At 38.7% G+C, this 24,499-nt stretch overlaps 1 protein-coding gene across 16 annotated transcripts in view, besides 3 other annotated features; it reads left to right on the top strand.

The window, feature by feature from the left end:
• The window catches only part of SEM1 (SEM1 26S proteasome subunit), a 228,221-nt gene that overhangs the window by 30,673 nt on the left and 173,049 nt on the right, over positions 1 to 24,499 (top strand). Inside the window, exons 3-5 of one of the 16 annotated variants that reach the window (XR_007060160.1) lie at positions 5,315 to 5,428; positions 6,222 to 6,274; positions 6,366 to 22,717. The exons of 10 other annotated variants lie outside the window; for them this stretch is intronic. Coding sequence is in view for 1 of the 6 variants with exons in the window: in NM_001393900.1 (NP_001380829.1) it covers positions 5,315 to 5,414 (100 nt within the window). In the remaining 5 variants the exon portion in view is untranslated. Of the gene's footprint in view, positions 1 to 5,314; positions 22,718 to 24,499 lie in introns of those variants that run through there. 5 more of the 16 variants (XR_007060161.1, NR_038948.2, NR_163952.1 and 2 more) reach the window with 5 other exon arrangements.
• Positions 2,823 to 3,117: a silencer, noted in NCBI's record as "tiled region #6945; K562 Repressive non-DNase unmatched - State 23:Low". NCBI's record gives its function as "represses a minimal TATA promoter and a strong SV40 promoter by Sharpr-MPRA in K562 cells {active_cell/tissue: K562}" and the evidence as "EXISTENCE:reporter gene assay evidence [ECO:0000049][PMID:27701403]".
• Positions 20,757 to 21,257: an enhancer, noted in NCBI's record as "H3K4me1 hESC enhancer chr7:96287229-96287729 (GRCh37/hg19 assembly coordinates)". NCBI's record gives its function as "activates a minimal SCP1, AML or CMV promoter by ChIP-STARR-seq in primed H9 embryonic stem cells {active_cell/tissue: H9 hESC(primed)}" and the evidence as "EXISTENCE:reporter gene assay evidence [ECO:0000049][PMID:30033119]".
• Positions 21,258 to 21,758: an enhancer, noted in NCBI's record as "H3K4me1 hESC enhancer chr7:96286728-96287228 (GRCh37/hg19 assembly coordinates)". NCBI's record gives its function as "activates a minimal SCP1, AML or CMV promoter by ChIP-STARR-seq in primed H9 embryonic stem cells {active_cell/tissue: H9 hESC(primed)}" and the evidence as "EXISTENCE:reporter gene assay evidence [ECO:0000049][PMID:30033119]".

Genomic DNA, 24,499 nt, shown 5'->3' with positions numbered 1-24,499 from the left:
TCTTTCAACAATTACTTCTTTGGTGATTAAAAAAGGCATATGCAAAATTACTTTGGTTTCAGGGACATATACATCATTCCTCTTAAGTAAGACAGTTAAAAAAATTAAAGCTATTGATTTATATATTGAAGAAGTTTCTTCATATTTTATATTTAACTTGTTAAATAAGTCTCGTTTTGGAAGCTAAGTTTTCACCATTTGATACAAGTCTATATAATACTAGTTCATAATGTAGGGACTAGACCAAGACTATTGTATCAAACAGTGCTGCTAGATTTTATTTTGCTTTACAAATTAAAATTTATTGTTGTAGACTAATAAAATTGTCTTTAAGTCAACTGACTCTGAAAGAGAGCATATATACTTTTATTTTTCCATGTAAAGCTTTTTTCTTAATTTTTCTTATCCAAATTAAACTTGATATCTCATTTTAAAACTATTTCAAGGTACAGAAAAATTTAGGAATAGTCAATCAGGAATTAAATGAGTGATGTCAAATGGTGTTCCCAGGAAATTGTGGGAAAGGGTGTGAGTATGAGGCTCTAGGCAACCCTCTTTTGTTTCAGTCAGAATAGTTTGACTTTTATTTGTTTTAGACATTGGAATTCAGCATACGATTTCATTTGAAAACTTGATTCTGCTGCCTTTCTTTTAAAGTTTGATAACAGTGATCTAGATGTTCTACATTACTGGCAATTTCTCCTAAATACTACCAAGTAAGTTAGGTTTTACTTTCTGTCCAGATTCAGGGTACAACCACTTCATACTGTGAAAATTATAAACATTTTTCCTAAGTTTTCTGAGTCTCTGTCATCTATATATTTGTGACCATGATGTTAGACTTATAGAATTGGATGGATGCTTAAAAAGCATCTACCTCTACCACTTCATTTTACAGATGAAGAAATAACCTCAAAGCCATTGTGACCCGTCCCCAAGGTCACATTGGGCAGAATCAAGAAATGAATCAAATTGGGTACTCTTCTCACTGCACTGAGATTTCTCTTTTAGAGGTTCTATTTCACCAATTTTGAATATGGAATATTTGCTAGATATTAGGAAACATAAATGGCATAAAGAAAGGATGAGAACAAATAACATTGCAAAAGAAATTTATTCATTCAACAAATATTTATTGAGCAGCTACCAAGCGTCAGGCATTGTATTCACTGAAAGTAGTCTGTTAGTTCACATATGAAAAACGTATGTGTGCTTTATGTGATGATTGTTAATGCAAGTTAAGTAGATTGCTCCTGGACTTTAGGGTGAAAACTTCTTTTTAAATACCATAGTGGACATTGGTTTTATCTTGGCTACTGGGAAAACATTGTCATTTAGGTTGCTAATAACATCTAGATTTTTTATGGGTAATTAATACCATCATCTCCTTTCCCTACTCCCCTTCCCCACCCTCTTTCATTTTTCTGCCGTCTTGGTGAAGCCAATTGAGGACTTTCTATCTTAAAAAGAGATAATAATGATGAGGAAAACTGTCCATTCAGCCCAGACCACTGAATAGTTCCTGCTCTGAGACCCTCTCCCCATCAGAGCACCTTTGATCCTATCTCCAGGCACAGCTCTTCAATCTCATGATGGATTCTAATAACTCTCTCACTTCCTTTCAATAAATCCCCTTTCTGCTTAAGTTAATCAAAGTTGTCTTGTGTTGCTTGCAACCAATTAACCCTAAATGATATCTATATCTCTTTGTGAGAGATTCTGTAATTATTTATCATATGTGACAACACAAACTGCTAGAGAAGAACAAGATCTGTGAAATTAAGGCCTTTGTCTCAAAGTCCAAAACCTAAGTCACTGTACCAAGAAAAGATGACGATAACCACCAACTGAACCTTTTAGCTCTTTGTTACCTTAACAAGCTTGATGTCGGGAGACCTGTTACACAATAAAGATAATTCCCTTCTCTCGATTATCTTCTCCCCATTTAGAGACGACTCCTGAGAAGCTGTCCTGGGCCTCTTAGGGCTGTGAAGCACTGTCATCCTTTTCCCAGTCTTCATTTTGATCTGCTAAAGTACCATTGTGCTGGCCCTCTGCTGAGTGCTGTTGACCTTGTTCGCTGATTGCTTTTAGTGATTCCCTTCGGTGATTGATGGAACTGACTGGACAGTAATAAAAACAGGGCTGATTTGCTTTATCTTAGCAGGATTAAAGCCTGAAAACAAATCTAATTTTCTTTTATGGGGAATGGAAGTAGGAACAAAAGATTTTGATCAGTGTCTTAAAGTAACATGAAAGGAAGACTGGAGGACTTAATATGGTAAAAGGAAACTCTGTAAAGGAAAAGAAGCATAACTGTTAGATTCCTAATGGAAGGTGTGGTGACTCTCTAATTTCCTTCTTAACAATAATGCTGTTCACATGCTAGGCATGGTATATACTAGCCCATAGATCCTCTGTATAAATTTGTGATGTAAAATGAGAGAAAAAGATATGGGAAATGTAAAACAGTCATGGGAAAATTGAAGAGGTTGGAATAGAGCATTGTACAGCAAAATTTGTCATCTTTACCGTTCCGTGATATCTCTCAATAAAATTGGCAGAAATGTAGCTTGTAGGAAATTAATGGAAAGTTCTTGAGTCCTTTACTTGTTTTTCTTTCATTGTTAATGAATGTAAAGGGTTAACTATTAAAAACTGTAGCATAGCATGGAGTATTAAATATTTATACATATATTTTACATTTAAATTTCAACCCTTTTAATAATTGTGGGTAAATAATAGGTAACAGACTGTGGTCAGCCTTATCATAGGAGGATGAATTGTTGCAGGAACATTCCTTCTTTCACATTTTCCTGGCAGGAATAAAGAGGTTGTTCAATCATTCAACCTATATATAGGTAGAGAGAAAGGCAGCAGAAGAGCCCAGTGCAATGTCATTGCATTACTGTAATCATAAAACTGTCAATGACTTAATCTCCAGGTCTTTATTTCACAACTGGAAAATGGGGATGTATGGGTCAAGGGCAGGGCCACTGCCAGCCTAAACAATGCCTCTATGTAAACAGGAAAATTTCACCCCTTACTGCAGGATAATTTAGCCTCATGAATTTGGCAAATGGAGCTCAGGCTAGATTTCAGCCTCTGGTTTCTTTTGCTGGATTCTCTTGTACAGAGTACAACCTACATAGCTGTATATAACAGCCCTGGTGTGAGTTCTTGGTTGCCTGCAACAGAATCCAACCCTAAATATGTTATGCCAAATGAGAAGTTACTGGCAGAATATTGGAGTTCACAGATTAAGAGGAACTTGAGAAAGTAACTGAAGCTAGGACATCTCTGGCATCAGGACCTTAAAGTCTATTGAGGCTTTAACTCAGTAGCTGGACCCCAGGTGCTGCTGCAAAGGATTTGGCATCTGTCCATGTCCTCTTCCTTTGCATCACTCACTTAGGATTTACAGTCCCAAGAGTGATATTTGATTGCCTGGCCCCCTGGCTATAACAGGGAGCTGGTGGAGGAAGGAGCAGGCTCCTCAGCTTCTGAAGTAGGAAATGACAGTGAGAGCTGGCACTTAGTGTCCTCCCACTAAGACCACACGCCATTTGAGTTATCCCCAAGGAGAGACTGGGGAGTTATTAGGAAGCTGTGTATGTGTGGAGAGAACTGGGTGCTGGATAACTATAAAATGGTAAATGTCTGTTATATACTTAGCTGTTAATATCACCTAAAGGTATCTAGTTGTAGCTGCCATACAAAACTGCTCCAAAGATAGGGACATTAAGTGTTAGAACTAACGGCATTTAAGTGACCAGTTTCCTGACCCAATGTTTTAGTGCATGTCCTTTTCTCTATACATAGAAGTGACGGCGAAACTGATGGCCTGTAAAGGAAGGAATATCAAGTGACAGTTCATAGTGAAATACTCAAGATGCAATTCTATGAATTCATTATTCCTCTTGATTCTCTGTAGTTTGCCCCATACTGTGTGCAGAAGACAGTTTTCTCCAGAGAAAGGAGAAAAGACCTCAAATTTTATCATCTCTTCTCTCCAAGATAGAAATGCAACTATATTTTCCACCTTTTCCTTTTTTGCTTTTTATTTATTTTTGGGGGGTGGGGTGGGGTTCAGGATGATGGCCATGTCCATGAATAACAGAGAAGTGGTCCTGACAATCAACGATGCTGCCTGTTGGGTGGGCTGAGGTACTGTGTCCCCATGCTCCTAAAAGATCCAAAGCCTTCCATGTCACCCACCCCTGCTCCTTCTTCCTCCATGGAGGACCCTCGTGCTTGTGCACAGCTTTCCAGGACAGAAGAGAGCATAACAGGGATTCCGTTTGTTGGCTCTTGGTCAAGAGTCTGCTGATTTTTCTCTTAGATGTGATTTTTCAATGCCCATGAGTTTCCTCTGTGCACAAAATTTCTGGCCCAGCACAGGGTTCAGTGGAATTTGTCCTTCCCCTGATTCATCATTCCTATTATGAAACCACAAATTTCCTGCCATTGTATGCATTGTATGTATACTTTTATTACTTTTTATTTTGAGACAGGGTCTTGCTCTGTTGCCCAGGCTGGAATACAGTGGCTCAATCATGGCTCACGGCTGTCTTGACCTCCCGAGCCCAAACCATCCTCCCATATCAGCTTCCCAAGTATCTTCTGGGACCACAGGCATGCACCACCACGCTCAGCTAATTTTTTTGTTTGTTTGTTTTTTTAGAGAAAGAGTCTCCTTATGTTGCCCAGTCTGGTCTCTAACTCCTAGGTTCAAGTGATCCCCCTCTTGCCTAGGCCTCTTAAAGCACTGGGATTACAGGTGTGAGCCACCGCACCCAGCCTGTATACTTCTTTTGACAGACTGATGTTCATTCATTAAAATATATGTATAAACACTGCTCTATAAGCCCTAGTAATATTCTAAGCCCTGGTTGATTTACCTATTTTGTTGGTAAGTAAAGCCTAGATGACCATAATTATAGATCTGTGGTGGATCTTAACAGTCTAGTGGTGGAGACAAGGAAGACAGAAGTGGACAAATGTGTAAATATGTAATTACAAATAATGAGGAAAATAATTTTAAAGAAAGAACAGGACTCTGTAATAGAGAATAGCAAGAGTGAGACCTACCTAGAAAGAATGACCATTAGGCTTATCTGAGGAATATATAATTCATGATCTAAAAATTTGGCTGGCGGGAGTCAGGGAGAGGGGAGGTAGAGATGGGGATGGGACTGGGGCATAAGGGGTGTACATTTTTCAGGATGGGCCAGGCTTATGCTGTGGTCAAGCAGCCCACAGATCACAGTGGCTTGATACTTAAAAGTTTGCTTACACAAAGTCTGTTTTCCAGGGCAACTGTACTCCTGATGATATTGGTCTGTGAAACCCCGTATGGCTGCTATGTTCTCCACCAAAAGGGAAGAATGTGCAGTGCTTTCCTCTGCTGTTAACAGATCATCAACCTGTATGTGTTCATGGCCCCACCTAAATGTAAAGAGCTGGGATGCACAGGATTGGAGAGCTATTATTGAGCACTAGTCATGTGGATATGTGCATGGAGTCAGTAAGGAGGGAGTGGGGTGGTGCTACAGCATTTCAGGCAAAGAGAGCAGCCTGGGTGAAGGTCCAGCCTGGGCAAGGTAGGATTATGGTTAGCATACTGCAGTATTGTTGGGTAGTAAGAGATTATGATACTTCCTGTAGCTACATAACAGGGGCTTACTTGAAGGGTGACCCTATTTATTGTTTCAGTCACCAGTGTTCAGTGGAAAGTCATGTCTTTCATATAAAAAGGAGGTCAGGCACAGTGGCTCATGCCTGTAATCCCAGCACTTTGGGAGGGCAAGGCAGGTGGATCACCTGAGGTCAGGAGTTCGAGACCAGCCTGGCCAACATGGTGAAACCTGTCTCTACTAAAAATATAAAAATTAGCCAGGCATGGTGGTGCATGCCTGTAATCCCAGCTACTTGGGAGGCTGAGGCAGGACAATTGCTTGAACCCGGGAGGTGGAGGTTGCCGTGAGCCGAGATTGCACCACTGCATCCCAGCCTGGGTGACAGAGCAAGACTCTGTCTCAAAAAGAATGAATAAAAATAAAAAATAAAAATAAAAATTAGAAGAAATGACTTCCATGTTTTATTATTTTATTAATTATCTGCCTCCTAAAAGACAAACAATTAATTTTATATACTATGTGTGGTAAATATATGCATTTTTTCACTTAATTCTAAGTAGTATCATTATTCCCATTTTACAGATGATAAAACAGAGAAAAACAGACTAAGTGATTTACTTAAGGTCACACCTCTGGTAAGTGATACCCAGGCAGTCTGACTCAGGTGGTTTTTGGCCACTATACTACTCTCATACAGCTGAAAAATGTTTTCTTTGTGTTGGCCAGGAAGGACCCTGGTGACCAGGTGCCTGACCCTGTAGAAGAGGAAGTGTTATTGCATCTTGCAGGGGCAGGACAGAGGACAGGGAAAAGGTATGCATATAGTATGCTAATGAGGTTATATTTCCTTTTGGAGTTAGTGTTTATCCTAAGAATCAGATTTGGGATGGTGAGAAGCCACTATTTTGTTAGCTTAACTAGAGAGTGTCCTTCCAGTGGTGTTATTGTTGTTCTTTCATACTAAGTGTTTTTGGACACTTCAGACTATTGCAGTTGGAGAACAAAAGGTACCCCTTCTCCAGTGCCCAAGTCATAGAGACACCATCCAGGAAGTGATGGTACTCAAAATCAAAGTGTAAAAAACTAGAGTGAGGAAAAACTCAGCAGGGATGAAGCTGGAGGTGTTGGACGACTGCCTTCTCCTACCTACGATGTCTTCCCTCAAAGCTAATACTTAGGTGGGCCTGCATTTATCGTAATAATGGAGGCTCTTTCCATCAAACTTTTGGGTAGCTATCTGCAACCTTCTACAGCTCAGTGGCCAGCAGTGACCTTGGGGCAGAACAGGCACAACTCTTGGTTTCCTGCCCACCACTGTTCGCTCTTTCCTTGTAAAAGAAAAGGGATAGAAGTGCAAAGTACTACACAGAAGTCCTGAGAAGAATCACTGGGTGTGCAGGATGTTCAGTAAATAATTTTCAGGTGATTATACATGAGAGGCCATTGAGCTTCTGTTTGTCTTACTCGGAGTTACCACAGACTTTCACCCAATGAGGACACTGACCTAAGAGCAGGCACAGGCCATGTCATCAGCCAGGGAGTACTATATTTGGTTTTCTAAAACCTATTTTTATAAGAGAGATTTCTAGGATCAGATTTCCTATCCCGATATGGGCATTATGTAATAACAACAGGTTTCCCCAATTACTGTTTACACTGTGAATCTAAAGCCCTTAATAATATTGTCCAGATACCTAGTTTTTCCATTTAGGAATAGCCATAAATTGGAGTTTTTACATGAGTAATTCTGCTCTCTGAGGAGCATCCTCTCCAGGCATGCTCCGCAATGTCTTATACCTCTCAACTTTGCTTATTTAGTTTCTCCAGGGTAGGATGCTTTTTCCTCCCTTCTCTTCAATCGGTTATATGTTCATTAACTGTAAGAATTCCTTTTTTGCAGTATCCTCTTTCAGAAGACTTTTTTGAACTCCCAGGTTGAGCTCTGTGCCTCCCTTTCAGTTTTCCATCACGCTCAATATCTTTATCTTGTTCTTTAGGCTCATTCAAGTAAAATTATCTACCCTGAAGTTTCTTTTGTGGGTTTTTCCTCCTCATTAGATTCTAAAGTCCTCATGGGTGGGGATTGTCTTTACTCAGCATTTTTACCTCTAGATCTAGTAAAGTTCTTCATAAATGTCAGTTAAACCAAATTAAATGGGTAAAAGCTGGTTTTCAATAAGATGTAGTGAGAGTTCCATAAATCTATTGTAGCTTTGGAAGTGAGAATTGTTTCTACTAAACTATCACTGAAAAAATGTCACCAAAATTAAACCCCATAATGCAGCTGTCCCAGAAAAGGGATAGACTTAAGTCTTATTGCTGATTTCTGATTCTAATTTGTTTTGAAACAGGTTGTTTTTTCAAGGTGTCTTAATTTTTCTAGCTACAAAATAGCTGTGGACATTGTGTTCATTGAAATCTGTGGGGCTTGCTATTCTCACTGAGTCAGCATATTATGAATGCAGTTTATTATTCCCAAAATGTCGTGCATGCAGCTTAATCAGTGCAGAAGTGAAGACCAAGAGCCTTGGAGCAGTTGTACTGATTTGACATTTTCGTGGAATCAACAAAGAGGATATATCTCCATGAGGCAAGCTACTGGATTTCTCTCCCTCCCTATATTTCAAGCTATAAACACAGTTTCCCCATTGACATTTATTAGAAAGTAACACAAAGCAGATTGCTAGGTTTGTACTCTACAGACATTTTTATATCAGGCACATTGCATGCTCTCTGTAAATCAAGCATGATGGCATCCTTGCAGATTAAGCTCTCAAATCCTGTTCTACCATTTTAATAATTTCACTGACTTAATCTTTATATGAATGAAGTATATAATTTCCTCAAACAATGCTTTGCTCCTCTGTGTTTGCCAAAAGAATGCTTCAGTTTAGAAATTTGGTCTGTGATCTGTCAGATGAGGATACAAAAAGTTTAACTTAAACACAAACACTAGGTCACACAGGGACAGGATCCAGATGGTTTTGTATTTGATTACACCACCCTCCATCTCCCTGGCATCTATATCCTTTCTTCTATTTTCCGCCATCTGTCAATAAACCTGAACAAAGAACTTAATCACATATGCTATCAACAGGTCAGTTTGATTTTTTTTCTACCTTCTCTGTCACTGGGTGGTTAAAAAAGAGTATATTATAAAGCAGTATCTAGTTTTACATCATAATTTATGTTTTTCCCAAAGCTAAGTAAGCCTTAAGATTAAGGCTGGGCCATTTGCTCATGTAACTCCAGTATTTGAGACAAATCAAATGTTATATTTGATCTAATTTAATGAGTTAGAATAAAGTATGTTTTTCTTCCATTATTTGCTGTTAATATGAATTATAGATTTTGTTATTTATTAGTAATAAAATTGTAGATTTTATTATTACTTGATTAACATTGGAAATTTAGAATCAACCATAACAAGAAATTAACAATAGTATTTAAAGTGGTTTCAATGATATACCTTGAAGTCAGAATCACCTGATTTACTCCTGGCTCAGTTATGTACTAGTCATGTTGCCTCAGGCATGTTACTTAGCCTCATCTATAAAGGAGGTAAAGGACTATGTAACTTGCAGGATTATTGTAGGATTAATGAGATAATTTTGTACAGCATTTAGCCCAGTGCCAAATGAAGCCCTGTGTCAACAAATAGTGATCATTTTCATTATTAATATTTGTGCTACTATTAAAATATCTTTGAATACTAAAGAAAAGAGATAAAGTAATAAAATGGAGTTTTAAAAAACCACTACACTATCATGCATTTTGAAATGTGATTCTCAAGTGGGTTCATAAAAATATTTTTATTATAGACAGATATCACTCCATGAATACAATTCTCATTCACAAGTCAGGCCACTTATCTTATGTATCCTAAATAAAAGAGTGCATATTGCTTTTCTGTCATGCTTTTGACCAAGTGGGCCAACTTTATGTTATCAGCCTGGAACAAGGTTCAACAAGTTGCATCTGCAGACAAAATCTAGCCCCCTGCCTGTTTTTGTGTGGCCTAAGAGCTAATAATCACGTGTATATTGTTAAGTAGTGGGGAAATTTTTTCTATACCATTTTCTGATTCAGGAAAATTATATGAAATTCAAATTTCAGTGTCTATAAATAAAGTTTGATGGAACATAACCACACTCATTGATTTACATATTATCTATGGCAGCTTTTAATCAGCAGAATTGAGTATTTATGACAGAGACTACGTAACTTGCAAAGCCTATCATCTGTCCCTTTACAGGAAAAGCTTACAGAAAAATTGACTCCTGACTTAGAAAAATAAAAATATATTTCTGGATGAGGCTTTCGGAGTTCAGCACTCTCAATTTAAAGATCAGCATTTTAGTTTCCTAGGGCTGCCATAACAAAGTACCACAGACTGGGTGACTCAAAGCAACAGAAATTTATTGCTGCATGCTTCTGGAGGCTAGAAGTCTGAAATCCTAGAAGTCTGAAATTAAGGTGTCAGCAGGGCCATGCTCCCTCTGAAACCTGTGAGAAAGAATCCTTCCTTGTCTCTTCCTAATTTCTGGTGGTTTGCATGTTCCCTGGCTTGCAGCTGTATAACTTCAGTCCCTGCCTTTGTTGTCCCATGGCATTCTCCCTGTGTGTCTCTGTCTTCAGGGGGCCATCTTCTTATAGGGACACTAGTCTGATGGACCCGTCTACTCCAGTAGGACCATCTTATTCATTATATCTGCAAGAACCCCTTTCCAGGTAAGGTCACATTCTGAAGTACTAGGGGTTAAGATTTCAACATGTCTTTTTTTGGTAGAGGGGAAAGGAACACAAATGAACCAGTTACAATCAGGAAATTGGAGCCCTGACATATGAAGGAACTTATTCAAAGTCACAAAGAGAGTTAGTGGAAGAACCAAGACAAACCTGGGAAGCTGAATCTGTAGCTGATTGATGAATAATCTTTACACTACACCACATGAATCAAAGTGAATTAATCTGTTATATCTAATGTATATGCAATACTTAATTTCATTGAGTCCTTTTTAGAATATATCTATTTAAGCATTAATAATGAAACACACTATTTAAAGTTGAGGACTGTAATTGGCTAAAATTCCCAGTACTATAATTTTTATTTATTTTATAGCAGAGAAGAATAATTGTGATGAGGTGTATTTGTTCTATTTCAATTGTCAGCTAACCATTCTAAAAAACAGGAGTGTGTTCATAATCTACATTATGTGGCAACAGTAATATTTTACTAAATTGTCAAAATTTATACTCTTATTCAGAAGTGACAGCCGTACAAAACAATACTAAAGAGGAAAACCCAGCAATATAAATAGTAATTTAAGCACTTAAAAATAATATGATATACACCTACTATGTATGCACAAAAATTAAAATATCTGATAACTCTACAATTTCATTTCTTTTCTCAATGCCTATCACTTTTATCACCTATAGGAATTCAACTTTCAAGTTGTTTCTTTCTCAGAGTTGCTCTAAAAGTAGTATTCGTGGGTGGGTTTCCACCTCCACAGGTCTGTCACTGGTTGTATACAGGGAGCTAATAGAATTTTTCAGTGTTAAAATATGGATTGTGAAAAAGGATCCCTTCAAAACTAAAAGTGATAGAGACATGGCAGATAAAGAACGATATTGGTGTTACACAAACAGGAAGAGGAGATGGGAAATTTTAACCAGGTCATATTTACCTGTAAATACCAAACTATATTCTTTACAATATTTTTCAAGTGGTATTAGGTGTGTATATTGTGGGGAAGCTCAGGCCGTTGGGACTAAAGAAAGCCACCCATGTGATTTAGCAATGTGGTTCTCTTCAGCTGAATCCAGGCTTTTTGGTTTAATGTTTTGGAAGATTCTTCTGCTTCCATCTGCCAGCACTAAGGCAATTGAGTATGTGGCTCAGTAACCCTAGAGAAAAAACATCCCTGAATGAACCTCCAGCGGTGACATTCATATATCCAAAAGCTAAAATAATCCCAAGATTCGGGGATTATGCTTTGAAGGAAAAAGTTGACAATAGCTTTGTTACTGCACAGAAAGTTCCAAGTTTACCGTGGCCAATAGGTAATTAATTGTCATAACCTACGCCTTTGAAGTAAATGGAAGGAAGGAAAAATTACCCCATTTGACTGATAGAAAAACTGAGACAAGGGCAGCTAACTTGCTTGTGGTTACCCAGGGAATAGTTGGCTGAGACTCCAGGATTCTTGACTCCAAATTCATTGCCGTAACCACCAGACTGAAACCGGCCGCCAAAGGCTGTAATTTGGTCTTGAGGCTGTGGCTATAGTTTAGAACCACAATAGTGAGGGAAACACACTTTAAGGAGGACCTTGAAAATCTCTCAAGAGAATTATGCCTCTTTATCTATGTTTATGCAACGATTGGAATAAATGAGAGTTCCGTCCCAACCACATTTGTGGCTTTGGGTTAGGCTGGAATCCCTCTGAGGAAACTGGGAAGGTTTGTCTCATCCTTCAGCCCAAACTTTAAAACCAATGGTGTTGAATTTTTGATACACAAATCAATGCATTAACATCATGCTTTTACTTGGCAGAAGTAATATCATGGATTGCCATGGATATAGCAAGTTGGCCCAAAGAGGAGAGGACTGGAGACTTGGAAGCTAGGGGAGCATATTTTTTGGGGTCACATGGGTGATCTGGAACAGCCCTGAGGTGGGTGCTCTGCAGGGATCCGGACGAACATAGGCCTTGCATCAAGAACATCTACAGTATCTCTAGGACACAGGCAGGAGAAGCATGGTAAGAGAGAGTGGTAGAAGTAGGGTCTGACTGTGGGTACCAGGTTGAAGTCCTAGAGGGCAAGCCTCAGGCATCACAGAGATTGAGCTGTACATCTTTATGGTTGAGGCAAAAAAAAAAAAAAAAATTGGATTCAATAGCAGCATTCAAGCAATTCTTGGAAAGGTAAAGCAACAATCTTACTCCATTGAAACAAGGGTACCAAGTAATAATCATTATATTAATTATAATATCATACTACAGCTACACTTTATTGAGTACCTGCTATGAGCTGGATGTTATACTATCTCTTTATATAGATCTCATTTACTCCTTACTACAATCCAACAATGTAGGTTTTAATTTTCACATTTTATAGATGTGGAAATTGAGAGAGAGGTTAGCTGACTTACCCAAAGTCACAGTAATATATCAAATGCAGACAGGATTTGAACCCAGGACTCTAGTTCTGTTGTCCATGGTTTATGCTCATCCTTCCTGGGCTAGAGGAGACCACAGGGCCTCCGTTCATAGGCATAAGACAAGAGCCCAGTTTCCAGATCTGGGGTACAAGGATGATGCATACACTGGGAAAACTTTTAAGATTTCTTTCAAGAACAAGAGTCCTAGAGATTCGGCCTTGGCTGTGTCTGTAAGTAAGAATGTAATGGCTCTAGAGTGGGAAATTAAAGTTGCTAAGCAGGTCCTTATCCACATTTAATTTCACCCTTCCTCACAATGACAGCTTTTTTCCCACTTGCTAGTGATTAAGTGCATGGACTTGAAGTCATATGAACTTGGTTGGAAATGCTGTTTCATACCCTTACTAGCTGCGTGGTCATAGGTAAGTTACTTAACCTCTCTGAGCCCTAGCTTTCTCATCTGCAGGGCTGGTATCTCACAGGATTGTGAAGAGTCAGTGAGGACCTGTGTTGACATGTTTATCCTAGGGACAGGTTGTCAGCTCAACCTTAGTTGTTCATTGGAATCACTTGGAGACCTTAAAAACCCTTGCTGCCAGGCACATTCCAGATCAATTTATTCAGAATCACTAGGAATGGGACCCAGACCTCAGTATTTGTTTAAAGTTCCCTTTGTCATTTGATGTACAGTTAAGGCTGGAGACCAACATTTAAGTGCTATGAATAATATTTTTCTCTTGTTTAGGTGAAAGGTAATTTTCTTCCTCAGTCCAGCAAAGAATTGGTGAAATTCCTGAGTAAAAATAACTATCGCCAAGCCTTAACCATAAAAAGAGTATTTTTCTATTTATAAATAGAGAACTAACTTTTCATATTTACTCTCTCAGAAGTTTAGAGTTGCTACATTTCCTTTGCTTTTTAAGTTATCAACTTAGCTGTTGAGTTCAACAATGAACAGGAATGAGAAACCAAGGCCATATTTTTAGGCGGGAAATATACCTTCAAAATAGATCATCTTCTATCTCTTCCCTCCCCTGAAATCCCACTAACATATAGGCATTTCCCCCCTTGGTGAGCTCCTGTGTTGCAGAGGGGTCTGTGACTGAGTGGTTTCTGATAGTACCTCTGGGATTTGGAAAGCTAGAGGGATGTCCAACCAGAGAGCTGGGTCAGGGGCTGGCTGGGAGTGGGAGGCTAGGATCAAGCTGCCTTTCTGGGGTAGAGGATTGTGGGGAAAGCCAGTGGGAAGATGAGAAACCAGTGCCTATGGGAGCCCTGAGAGTTCAGAACTGAGATCCCAGATGCCAATGCTGAGCCCACTGAACACGTGTGGGATTGTGAATCTGGGAGAACTAAAGGGGAAGTGGGTTGAATCTGGAGCTTGAAAACAAGTAAAGAGGACACAGAATGATTGTTTCAGAGACTGCTGTGTGTCCACTACTTAACTTTGTGGGTGTTAGCATTTTATTTCGTGTATCTGTGGTTTATTCATTATTTCACTATTGTATGGTTTTTCACTTTGTAAACATACCAGAATTTATTCAACCATCCTACCATTAATGAACACTTGGTTTGTTTCCAGTTTCTGTTGTCTATGCACTATGTGGCTATGAACATTCCAAACCATGTATCCTGGTGTGTGTGTAAGTGTCTTTACAATGATGTGGTAGGCCAAATAATATCCTTCTAAAACCATTTAAGTCCTAACCCCCTGAGTCTGTGAACATATTGTTTTACATGGCCAAAAATGAATGTGCAGATGGGATTAAAGTTAAGGATCTTAAGAGAAGGAGGTTATCCTGGATTACCCAGGTGGGCCAAAACTAATCACCCAAGTACTTAAAAGCAGAAGATGGAGGCCAAAGAATTGATCAGAGAGATGCAACTCGAGAACTTCTCAACCTGTCCTTGCTGTCTTTGAAGATGGAGGAGGGGAGCCAAAAGCAGAAGAATCTGGAGGCCTCTGAAATGAAGAACAGCCCTCATGTTATGGTGAATAAACAGGGAACTCAGTCCTACAACCTCAAAGAACGGAATTGTGCCAACAATGCAAAAGAACAGGGAACAGATTCTCTCCTAGAGCCTCCAGGAAGGAATGCAGTCGGCTAACACCTTCCTGTTGTTCCAGGGAGACCCATATAGACATATGGCCTGCAGAATTGTAAGATAATACATTTTTGTTGTTTCAAGCCAGCAGGTTTGTGGTAATTTGTTATGGCAGCAATAGAAAGCAAACAGATATATAACTAAGAGTGGAATTACTGGGTTGTGAATTCTTGTTTTCAGCTTTGTGAGCTAATGACACACTGATTTCCCAAGGCAATTAGTGCTCCCACAAGCATTCAATGGAGTGTTTCTTTTATTCCATAACTTCACAAACACTTGGTATATTCAACTCTAACATTTTTGCCAATCTTGTGGGTATGAACTGGTTTTAATTTTTATCTTGTTACTGATGAAACGTTTCATATACTTTTGGACTATATATTTTGTTTTCAGTGAAACGCCTGCTTTGTCTTTTGCCTGTTTTTAATTCTATATTTGTTTGACTTTTATATTTTTTTCTTGAAATTCTTTATAGTGTTTATAGTGTTCCAGTCTTCTGTTACTCCTTCAAGTCTGTGGTTGTTTTTTCACTTCCTTTCTGGTATGTGTGGTAACCATGGGAGTGCACTGTTCAGAGAGAACCTACTGTAAGGAAAGTAATTAGTTGACATCCTTCATTAGCCACACCTTTGGGTCACATGCTACTGGTCAAACCTGAGCATGGTGGAGGTACTGAAGCCTGCCCAGGGCTTTCTCAGTGTGGCACTGCAGGCAGAGGCTCTTCCTATCCAATCCTTCTTCTCGCCCCTCTCTTTTCCTAGGTGTCAGGCCCGAATCATAGTCTCAGACTCTCCCCCACACTGCTGCTCCTTCTTGCCTTTATTCTTCACAGGTGCTGTCCCCAGCAAATCTCTTGCACCTTTAATTCCACCTTGTCATCTACCTCCTGGGGAACCCAGACTAGCACAGTATTTTTTGATAAATGTAATTCTACTCTTCCTCCTCTCTTACCTCCTCTTTCTCTCTTTATTTCTTCTTATGGAAATTTTAAAACATATACAAAAGTAAAGAGAGTTGTAAAATAACTTCCACATACTCATTGCCCAGTTTCAGTAGTTATCAACATGTTTTCTAATCTCATGTCATGTATTTCCCTCCACTTTTTTTTTTCCTGGAATATCTTAAAGCAAGTTCTGCGTCATATTATTGCACTAGGACATACTTCACTATGTATCTCTAATAGAGTCTTTCTTAAAAAAAAACAAAATCACATAATACCATGATTTTATCTAATAAAATTAATGATTCCTTAATGTCATCTAATACTCAATATGTGTTCAAATTTTTGTGGTCGAACAGAAATGTTTTAATGCAGCTGGGAAATCAGCTTTTTCTTTTATGGTTTACACTTTCTACATCTTGTTCAGGAACATGTGTTCAACAAAATATTCTCCTATATTGCCTTCTAATTTTTTGTACTTTTTTGCTTTTGCACAGTTAAGTCTTGAATCATATTGAGTTAGTTTTTGTGTATGATATGAAGTAGGGTTCAGTCTTTCTCCATATGCCCAATTTCACCAGTTGTCCAAACACCATTTATTGAATAGTCAGTTTTTTAAAAAATTATTTTTATTTCACTTTAAGTTCTGGGATACATGTGCAGAATGTGCAGGTTTGTTATGTAGATATACATGTGCCATGGTGGTTTGCTGCACCTATCAACCCGTCATCTAGGTTTTAAGACCCGCATGCATTAGGTATTTCTCCTAATGCTCTGCCTCCCCTTGCCTCCCACCCCCTGACAGGCCCCAGCGTGTGATGTTCACCTCCATGTGTCCATGTGTTCTCATTGTTCAACTCCCACTTATGAGTGAGAGCATGCGGTGTTTGGTTTTCTGTTCCTGTGTTAGTTTGCTAAGAATGATGGCTTCCAGCTTCATCCATGTCCCTACAAAAGACATGAACTCATTTTTTCTGGCTGCATAGTATTCCATGGTATATATGTCCCACGTTTTCTTTATCCAGTCTGTCATTGATGGTCATTTGGGTTGGTTCCAAGTGTTTGCTATTGTAAATAGTGCTGCAGTGAACATGTGTGTATATGTGTGTTTATAGTAGAATGATTTATAATCCTTTGGGTATATGCCCAGTAATGGGATTGCTGGGTCAAATGGCATTTCTGGTTCTAGATCCTTGAGGAATCGCCATAGTGTCTGCCACAATGGTTGAACTAATTTACACTCCCAGCAACAGCGTAAAAGCATTGTGATTGCTCCACAGCCTTGCCAGCATCTGTTGTTTGCTGACTTTTTTTTTTTTTTTTTTTTTTGAGACGGAGTTTTGCTCTTGTTGCCTAGGCTGGAGTGCAATGGCATGATCTTGGCTCACCACAACCTCTACCTCCCGGGTTCAAGCCATTCTCCTGCCTCAGCCTCCAGAGTAGCTGGGATTACAGGCATGCCCCACCACGCCCAGCTAATTTTTGTATTTTTAGTAAAGATGGGGTTTCTCCATGTTGGTCAGGGTAGTCTTGAACTCCCGACCTCAGGTGATCTGCCCGCCTCGGCCTCCCAAAGTGCTGGGATTACAGGCATGAGGCACCACGCCCGGCCCCCTGACTTTTTAATAATCGCCTTTGACTAGTCAGTTCTAGTCCCAAGATATACAATGTTACTTTTGCCATATAAAAGTCAATTGTTTTGTGGGTCTTTCTCTCTTCTCTATTTTATTCCTTTGGTCTAATTTATTTCTGGTTAGTACCACACTACCCTAGTCAATACAATGTATAGCAAGTCCTTACATCTGGTAGGGCAAATCTTACCTTATTCTTTCTCTCAATTATTGTCTTATTTTTATTGAATATTTGTTGTCTTATATAAAACTTAAAATCAATTTGTTGAATTCCTGGAAGCAATTTGTTAATATTTTGATTGAAATTGCACTGAATTTAAGAACAACTTGGGAAAGCATTGATATCTTAACGATTTGGAGTCTTTCCAATCCTAAATATGATATAGCCATCTCTTAGGTGCAAATGTCTTTCCATAAACCTCTATGGACTTCCCAGAGATCTTTCATGTCTTTTGAGAAGTAGCAAAGGATAGTGATGAGGAGTACAGAATCTGGCACCAGACTACCTGGGTGTGAATCCTGCTATTTACTGGGTGTGTAAACTTATGTAACCTCTCTGTGCCTCAATTTCTTCATCTTTAAAATGGAGATAATTATACCACTTTAAAGGGCTACTATAAATAGTAAATTAATATATATGAAATATTTTGAAAGAGGTCTGAGAAATAGTTAAGAATCACGTAAATGTTTACGGCTAGTATTATTTCTTCCTAGCTTCCTTTCACTTGTTCTATTTCAAATAAGACAGGATTTTTTTTGTAATTACGTTTTTCTATTTCTGATACATACATGTAACTCATTTTTATATATTCGTTTTAAACTTAATTCTGTTGTGGTCAGATTCCATTTGTTCGAAATTTCTTGAGAATTGCTGCATTTGGTCAGTTTTCATAAATATTCCATGAATTCTATTAAATAATGTGTATTCTTCAGGTGTTGAATATGGATTTCCTTAGATGTTCATTAAATTGAGCTTATGAATTGTGTTGTTCAACTCTTCTTTGGGACTATATTTAAACTGTGTGGGTTTCACTAGATCATTGGATGAAATTGAGATAGTAAGATAGAAATCTCTAGACAATTTTAAAATTTCTAAATGCACATTGGAAATTATATATATACAATAACAATGTGTTTTCTCAGTTTAAATAAAGCATAAGGGGTTTTTGCTTTTTACTGGGATTGGATTAAGTTATTATGTTCAGAGTGGTACTTATATACATTTTTATTTTTAAAATGAAATTATTGGACAATAAAATGCCACTATATTTGTACTAATTTTTTAAAAATCTCTTTGACCTATCAAGAATTGAGAGAAATGTGTTGAAATCTCTCACTATGAGAAAGGATTTGTCCATTTGTATCTGTAGTTCTATCAACTTTTGATTTATATCATTTGAAGCTATTTTATTAGTTATCTGCAATTTTAGAATTGTTGGATCTTCCTGGGGAGTTGAAATCTTTGTCATTATGTTGGGACACACTCTAGCCACAAGAATGGATTTTGTCTCAAGGTCTATCTCATCTGCTGTTATTATAGCCATCTCAGCTCTATTTTTATTAGTATTTGCATGGTTAGTTTTTTTCTGTCCTTTTATTCTCAACTATCTCATGTCCTTAGATATGTTTTAGGGGAACTGCTTATAATCAACAGTAGGTTTTACTTTTTATCCAATCTGAAACTCTTATTTTTTAACTGGCAAGTTTAATATAATCCCACTTACTGTGATGTCTGATATATTTGGGCTTGTTTTTGTTTTTTTTTTTTTTTTTGCCATCTTACTTTCTTTCTTCTATTTGATTCACATTTCCTCTGATTCTTCTATGTATCATCTTGCCTTTTGGGGGGCTTGGTGGGATATTTTGTTTATTTATTCCATTTTTCCCTCTATTAGTTTGTAAGTATTCATTTCATTTCTGTTTTAGTGATCACCCTTGAAATTTTGCAAGTAAGCTTAACAAAATTAGTAAGCAATACCAATAGTTTTTCACTGGGAAAATACACAGACCCTTAATATGCTTTAATTCTAATCAGTCTTTCTTCCATCTTCAGTATTTTGTCTCTTCTAAGACATCAGGTTTGAGATTATCACTACTTTATGCAAATAATGTTGTTTAGATTTACCTCCAGTTTAGACATTTCTTTGCTCACTTTTCCTCTTGTGTCTCTCAGGTTGTCCTTCTGAAACAAGTTTCTCTATCTCCTCTGGAAGTGCATTTAGTAAAGATCTTTTAGTTATGATCTCAACTTTTGTTTGCCAAAAATGTGTTTATATTGCCTTTGTTCTTGAAATACAGTTATGCTGAGAGTATAAGTTGGCAGTGATTTTCTGTCAGCACTTTGACAATATTATTTCATTGTTTTCTAGTTTCCCTTATTGCTATAAGGAGCCTACCTGTGATTTATGGATCGTTTTATTTCCTGTTGCTTTTCAAATTTTCCCTTTGTCTTTGGTGTTCTATAGTTTCACTAAAACCTATCCAGGTGTGGATTTCTTTTTTATTTTGCTTTTTATTTTAATGTGCTTCCTGTGTTTGTGAGTTCATATTTTCTCAATTCTGGAAAATTCTGAGCCTTGATTTTGCACGCTGGCTTTCCCCATACTTCTGGGGTTTGCTGCAGTACACCTCTGCAGGTATGGACATCTGCCAAGTTTTCTGAGACATCCACAATAATGCAACTAATCACAACTTCAGGGCCTCTACTAGATCATATGGTACCTTTGTGCATTAGAAAAAAAGGTGCCCCCTTCAAGGATGGGAACATTTGGTTCAGTGGGCAGAAAGCATGACTTAGAGAGCAGGGATCAGGGTTGGGTTTTAGTTTCCTGTTGCACCACTAACTGGATTCCTTTTTGGTGGGCACACCTAGCACAACCATTTGCCCCACCTCTGAAATGACAAAACCTGTGGTGGCTGTGGGACACTCAGCACTGTGTTAAGATCAGAGGCACAGGGAGTAGCCCCAAAGATTGCAGAAGTCTTCACGTTGTGCATTAGGGAAAGACCTCTTGATTACAGGCTGGTCTCTTCAACAATAGTTGTGCACAGACACTCTACCCATTATTGGGGCACCTTCCAACACTGAGACAAGTTATGGATACTGTCTCCTAGGAATTGCATGGCTCCTATGCACAGATTTAACATTTGTTTCCTTCTACTTGCACTCTTTCTCAGAGAAGCTTATAGAAAAACAAATTAATTGGTCATTTTTAATATTGAAAAACACCAGTGTGACTTCAAAAATTCAGATCAGTAAAGAAATTAAAAGACCATATGCCAGGGATGTTCAGCCTTTTTTCATGACATAAAATGCATTTTCCAAGCATTTCTGATCTTCCAAGTGAGTGCATAGATCAAACACAGAAAAAAGAGAGCATTGAGATTTAGTTTTAACTGAGCACTCACACTGTGCTCAGGACTGGGCTGGCACTGAGCACTACACTTCAAAGGTACAAGAGGAATATTAGCAAAACACCACCCTGGCAGTCCCTGGGCCCTGCAGCCTGGAGAGTTGCAGGCCACTGAATCACACATCCCATCCTCTAATTTCACTTGGGATTCATCGGCCTAAGTAACCTAATTGAGTGTCATAATTGATTTGGGAGACTCATTTCCTTCCCTGGAAATCATTAAAGGTGGCTGCGTCATGCTTAAAATAGCACTTTTTCTAAAGGAATCCCCTGGACTCGTTCATGAGGAAGAAAGACCCTGTCAGCAGGTGGCTTCTCAGTCCTGCCGGTCCATGACCTGCCCAGACCTGCCCTCTGCACAAAGGTTGCTAGTGGCTCCTCGGGCCTCCCCACCAGGCGCCTTTCAGAGTACACAAAAAGGGCATACTGCCATTCCTAATGGAGGCAGCCACCCTGGGCAAAGGGCTGGCCACTGGCGTTGTTGTGGTCATCACCCCAATTAGCAAGACACACTCTGTGCCACTAAAGAATTTTTAGCAGGAAATTCTTTTGTGAGTGACTCAACTTCCCTGCATGAAATACCTAGATATTGTGACTTCTTTTTCGAAGCCAATGTTAAATTCCTAATTAAACTCTTACCTTTGAGGTTTTCCAACCGAGAAAACCCACTAGAGGTGGCCCTAAGGAATTTGCAATTCCTTCTGTTGGATTTCACCAGTGAGAGGTGAAGCTGGGAATAGCCACACTGCTGAGAATACCTTTGTAGTCACAGGAGGTGGTTCTCTTTTCCCTTGATTTTAATCCCTCTTTTACTTAGGATGGAAATAGCCTGAACCCAAATCTGAAAGAGTGATATCAAGTCTGGATAAAGATGCTGAAGTGTAGGGTCACAAATGGAAAGCTCTCTGAGGTTTAATTTTGTGAAATTCATTTATCCCTGAAAGCACTTTATCCTTAAACATGCATCTGTGTCTACAATAGAAACTGCCACTTGAATTACACCTCCTACAAGTGTAAGCCACCCTCAATTTAGAATCATTTCCATAATCCTGAGATAGTCTCAAGTCTACAGATAGCATCTCAAAAATCATCTAACAAAAAACTGTTATTGATGAGGTAGGAGATTCCTTTGCCTATTCCTTGGCTTAATTGTTCTCACTGTTTCAAAGTGTCCAACTTAAATTTTCTTACTGCCACTTAAATTTTATGTCTCTGTGGAAATGAATAATAGATGCTGCATATTTTAAAGGGCTTACGACAATATTTCTTAGGGTACATAATCACAATTTTATACTATAGACTGCACATTTTAACAGTCACAGCTACAGACAGATGTATAAATTGACCCAACTTATAAATAAGCCCAACTTATTTTATATACATATGTGTGTGTGTGTATATATATATATATATATATATATTTAACATTATATTTTTTAACATGCACTCTTCAACTGGGCTATATCAGCCCCAACAGTTGGAGAGTGTATATGCTAAAACTACTAGCCCGTGGCATTCTTCTTCATTCTCATTTGCAGACATTTTGGGATTCAGAGATTATTTTTATCACTTCATCTTTTACCACTAAATTAATAAATGTAGATGATTTTGTTGTACCAAGACAGTTTTCCAAACACTGATTTTGAATTTAGATGGAAGAAGCCTGATTTTTTTTTTTTTTTTACTAGGTCCTAAACTGACTCTGGGGACTAAAGAAAAAAAGTATAACTTATCATGGAAGTTGCTTAAGTGCAAAATTAATCAGGTCAGGGGAGGATTGGATATGGAGATTAAACTGTCATGCTTGGATCTGGAAGGTCAGTGACAAACCAGGTGGGCTGCCAAGGAGGCTGGGGTAGGGTGGGAGTTAATGTCTTCTGCATATCAGAGGCTGCAAGATGGAAGCTGGCTGAGACAGTGATGTTCAGGCAAGGAAGTAAGCTCAAGGAGACAAGCAGTGAGGAGAGAATGGTCAGGCAGTAGGCATGAGGACTCCAACTAAGAATTTGGAGACTTGTGGGTTTGGCCAACCAAAAGCCAGAAACGGACACCAGAGAGATCAGGCAACATCTTGTGTGTACAGCAGATGCTGTCACCAACAGCAAAAAAATGGAATTTAATTTTGAGCTCGGAATTTGGGTGGAGGGAATCTTTACATTCCTCCTGCCCAGGGCAAGAGCCTGTTTCTGAGGTCAGACTGGACTGAGCCTATGGAGGCATGGGAGCAAAAGGACATGCTCCCCATTCCTTACTGGATGATTCTGTTAGATCCTGTGAAGAATCTGTTGTGGGAATCTGACCCAAAGTTTCTGTCATCAAGATTAATGGCTTCTTCCTATATAGCCAGTTCCATTTTCACTTTTCACTATTATAATAAAAGTTGTATCTCTAGTCCTTTGTTTTATAATCACTAATTATCAAAATATTCTAGTTTATAAGTTAGCTTTATATTCATTATGGAAATGACAAAATGGAAAAGACATAACTTGTTCAAAGCCACAGGCAACTAGTCATAAAACAAACAGGGTGAGAAAAATCAAATCAGGACCCTCAACACCTGCTGTGATGAAAGGGGTATGGGGACAGTTTTGGGAGCGATCGGTTTGTTCATTATCATGATAATGGTGTTAGTTCACGGGTGTGGAGAGATGTCAAAACTTTTTGGACTGTACAATTTAAGTATTTGCAATTGAGGCTGGGTGCAGTGGCTCACACCTGTAATGCCAGGACTTTGGGAGGCCTAGGCAGGCGGAACACGAGGTCAAGAGATTGAGACCTGGCCAACATGGTAAAATCCCGTCTCTACTAAAAATACAAAAAAAAAAAAAAAAGGTATTTGCATTGATTTTATGTCAAATATACTTTAGTAGAGCTGTTCAAAAAAATGAAATAACTGATGGTTCCAACAGCTGATCAATGTAAGTGGAAATAAGTTGCAAAGTTTGCACAACCACACAACAATGGCAATGGAAGTCTATGGTACTTGATGCCTTTCTATTTTCTCTGTCAAGACTCCTCTAACTTCTGCTTCCTTCACTACCTGGCCCAGACCCTGAGATGAAACATTTTAAACATTTTAGTCTCTGGTACCCTTAATCTCTGGTACCTCTGCTCTCACTGTGGCAGAAACTTGAATAAGTGGTAAGGGTTAACTTGTACAAAATTAACCCCCTGCTGGCTGGCCTCCCTGAAAAGAAGTTGGCTTCCTGCAGAGCTTCATGGAAACAGACTAGGCTCTAAGTGCTTAGAGCAATCAATCATTTCTGGTCAACTACTGGCCTGGAGCCTGGCCTCTCCCTATACTGCCAAGGGAGGGGACGGTGCTTCACAATAATGAACACTACTGTGGTGAGTGCTGCAGAGAGCTTGCGACATCATACACCTGTGACTGCGAATTGTGGACCTCAAATCCAGATCACACCAGGAAAGAAGCTGCTGACTCCCAGTCATGAGCCTTGAGTTGGCGGGAAATCTTGCATTGAGGTTCCATCACACTACAGATCTCAATTTACAATGGGCTTGTGTCCCTACAAATATATAATAAGCTGAAAATACCTCAAATAAAAAATGCATTTAATACATCTTACCTACCAAACATC

This window comes from Homo sapiens, chromosome 7, assembly GCF_000001405.40.
Source record: "Homo sapiens chromosome 7, GRCh38.p14 Primary Assembly".
Classification (NCBI taxonomy): domain Eukaryota; kingdom Metazoa; phylum Chordata; class Mammalia; order Primates; family Hominidae; genus Homo; species Homo sapiens.
This window is presented reverse-complemented; position numbering and strand designations above follow the sequence as displayed.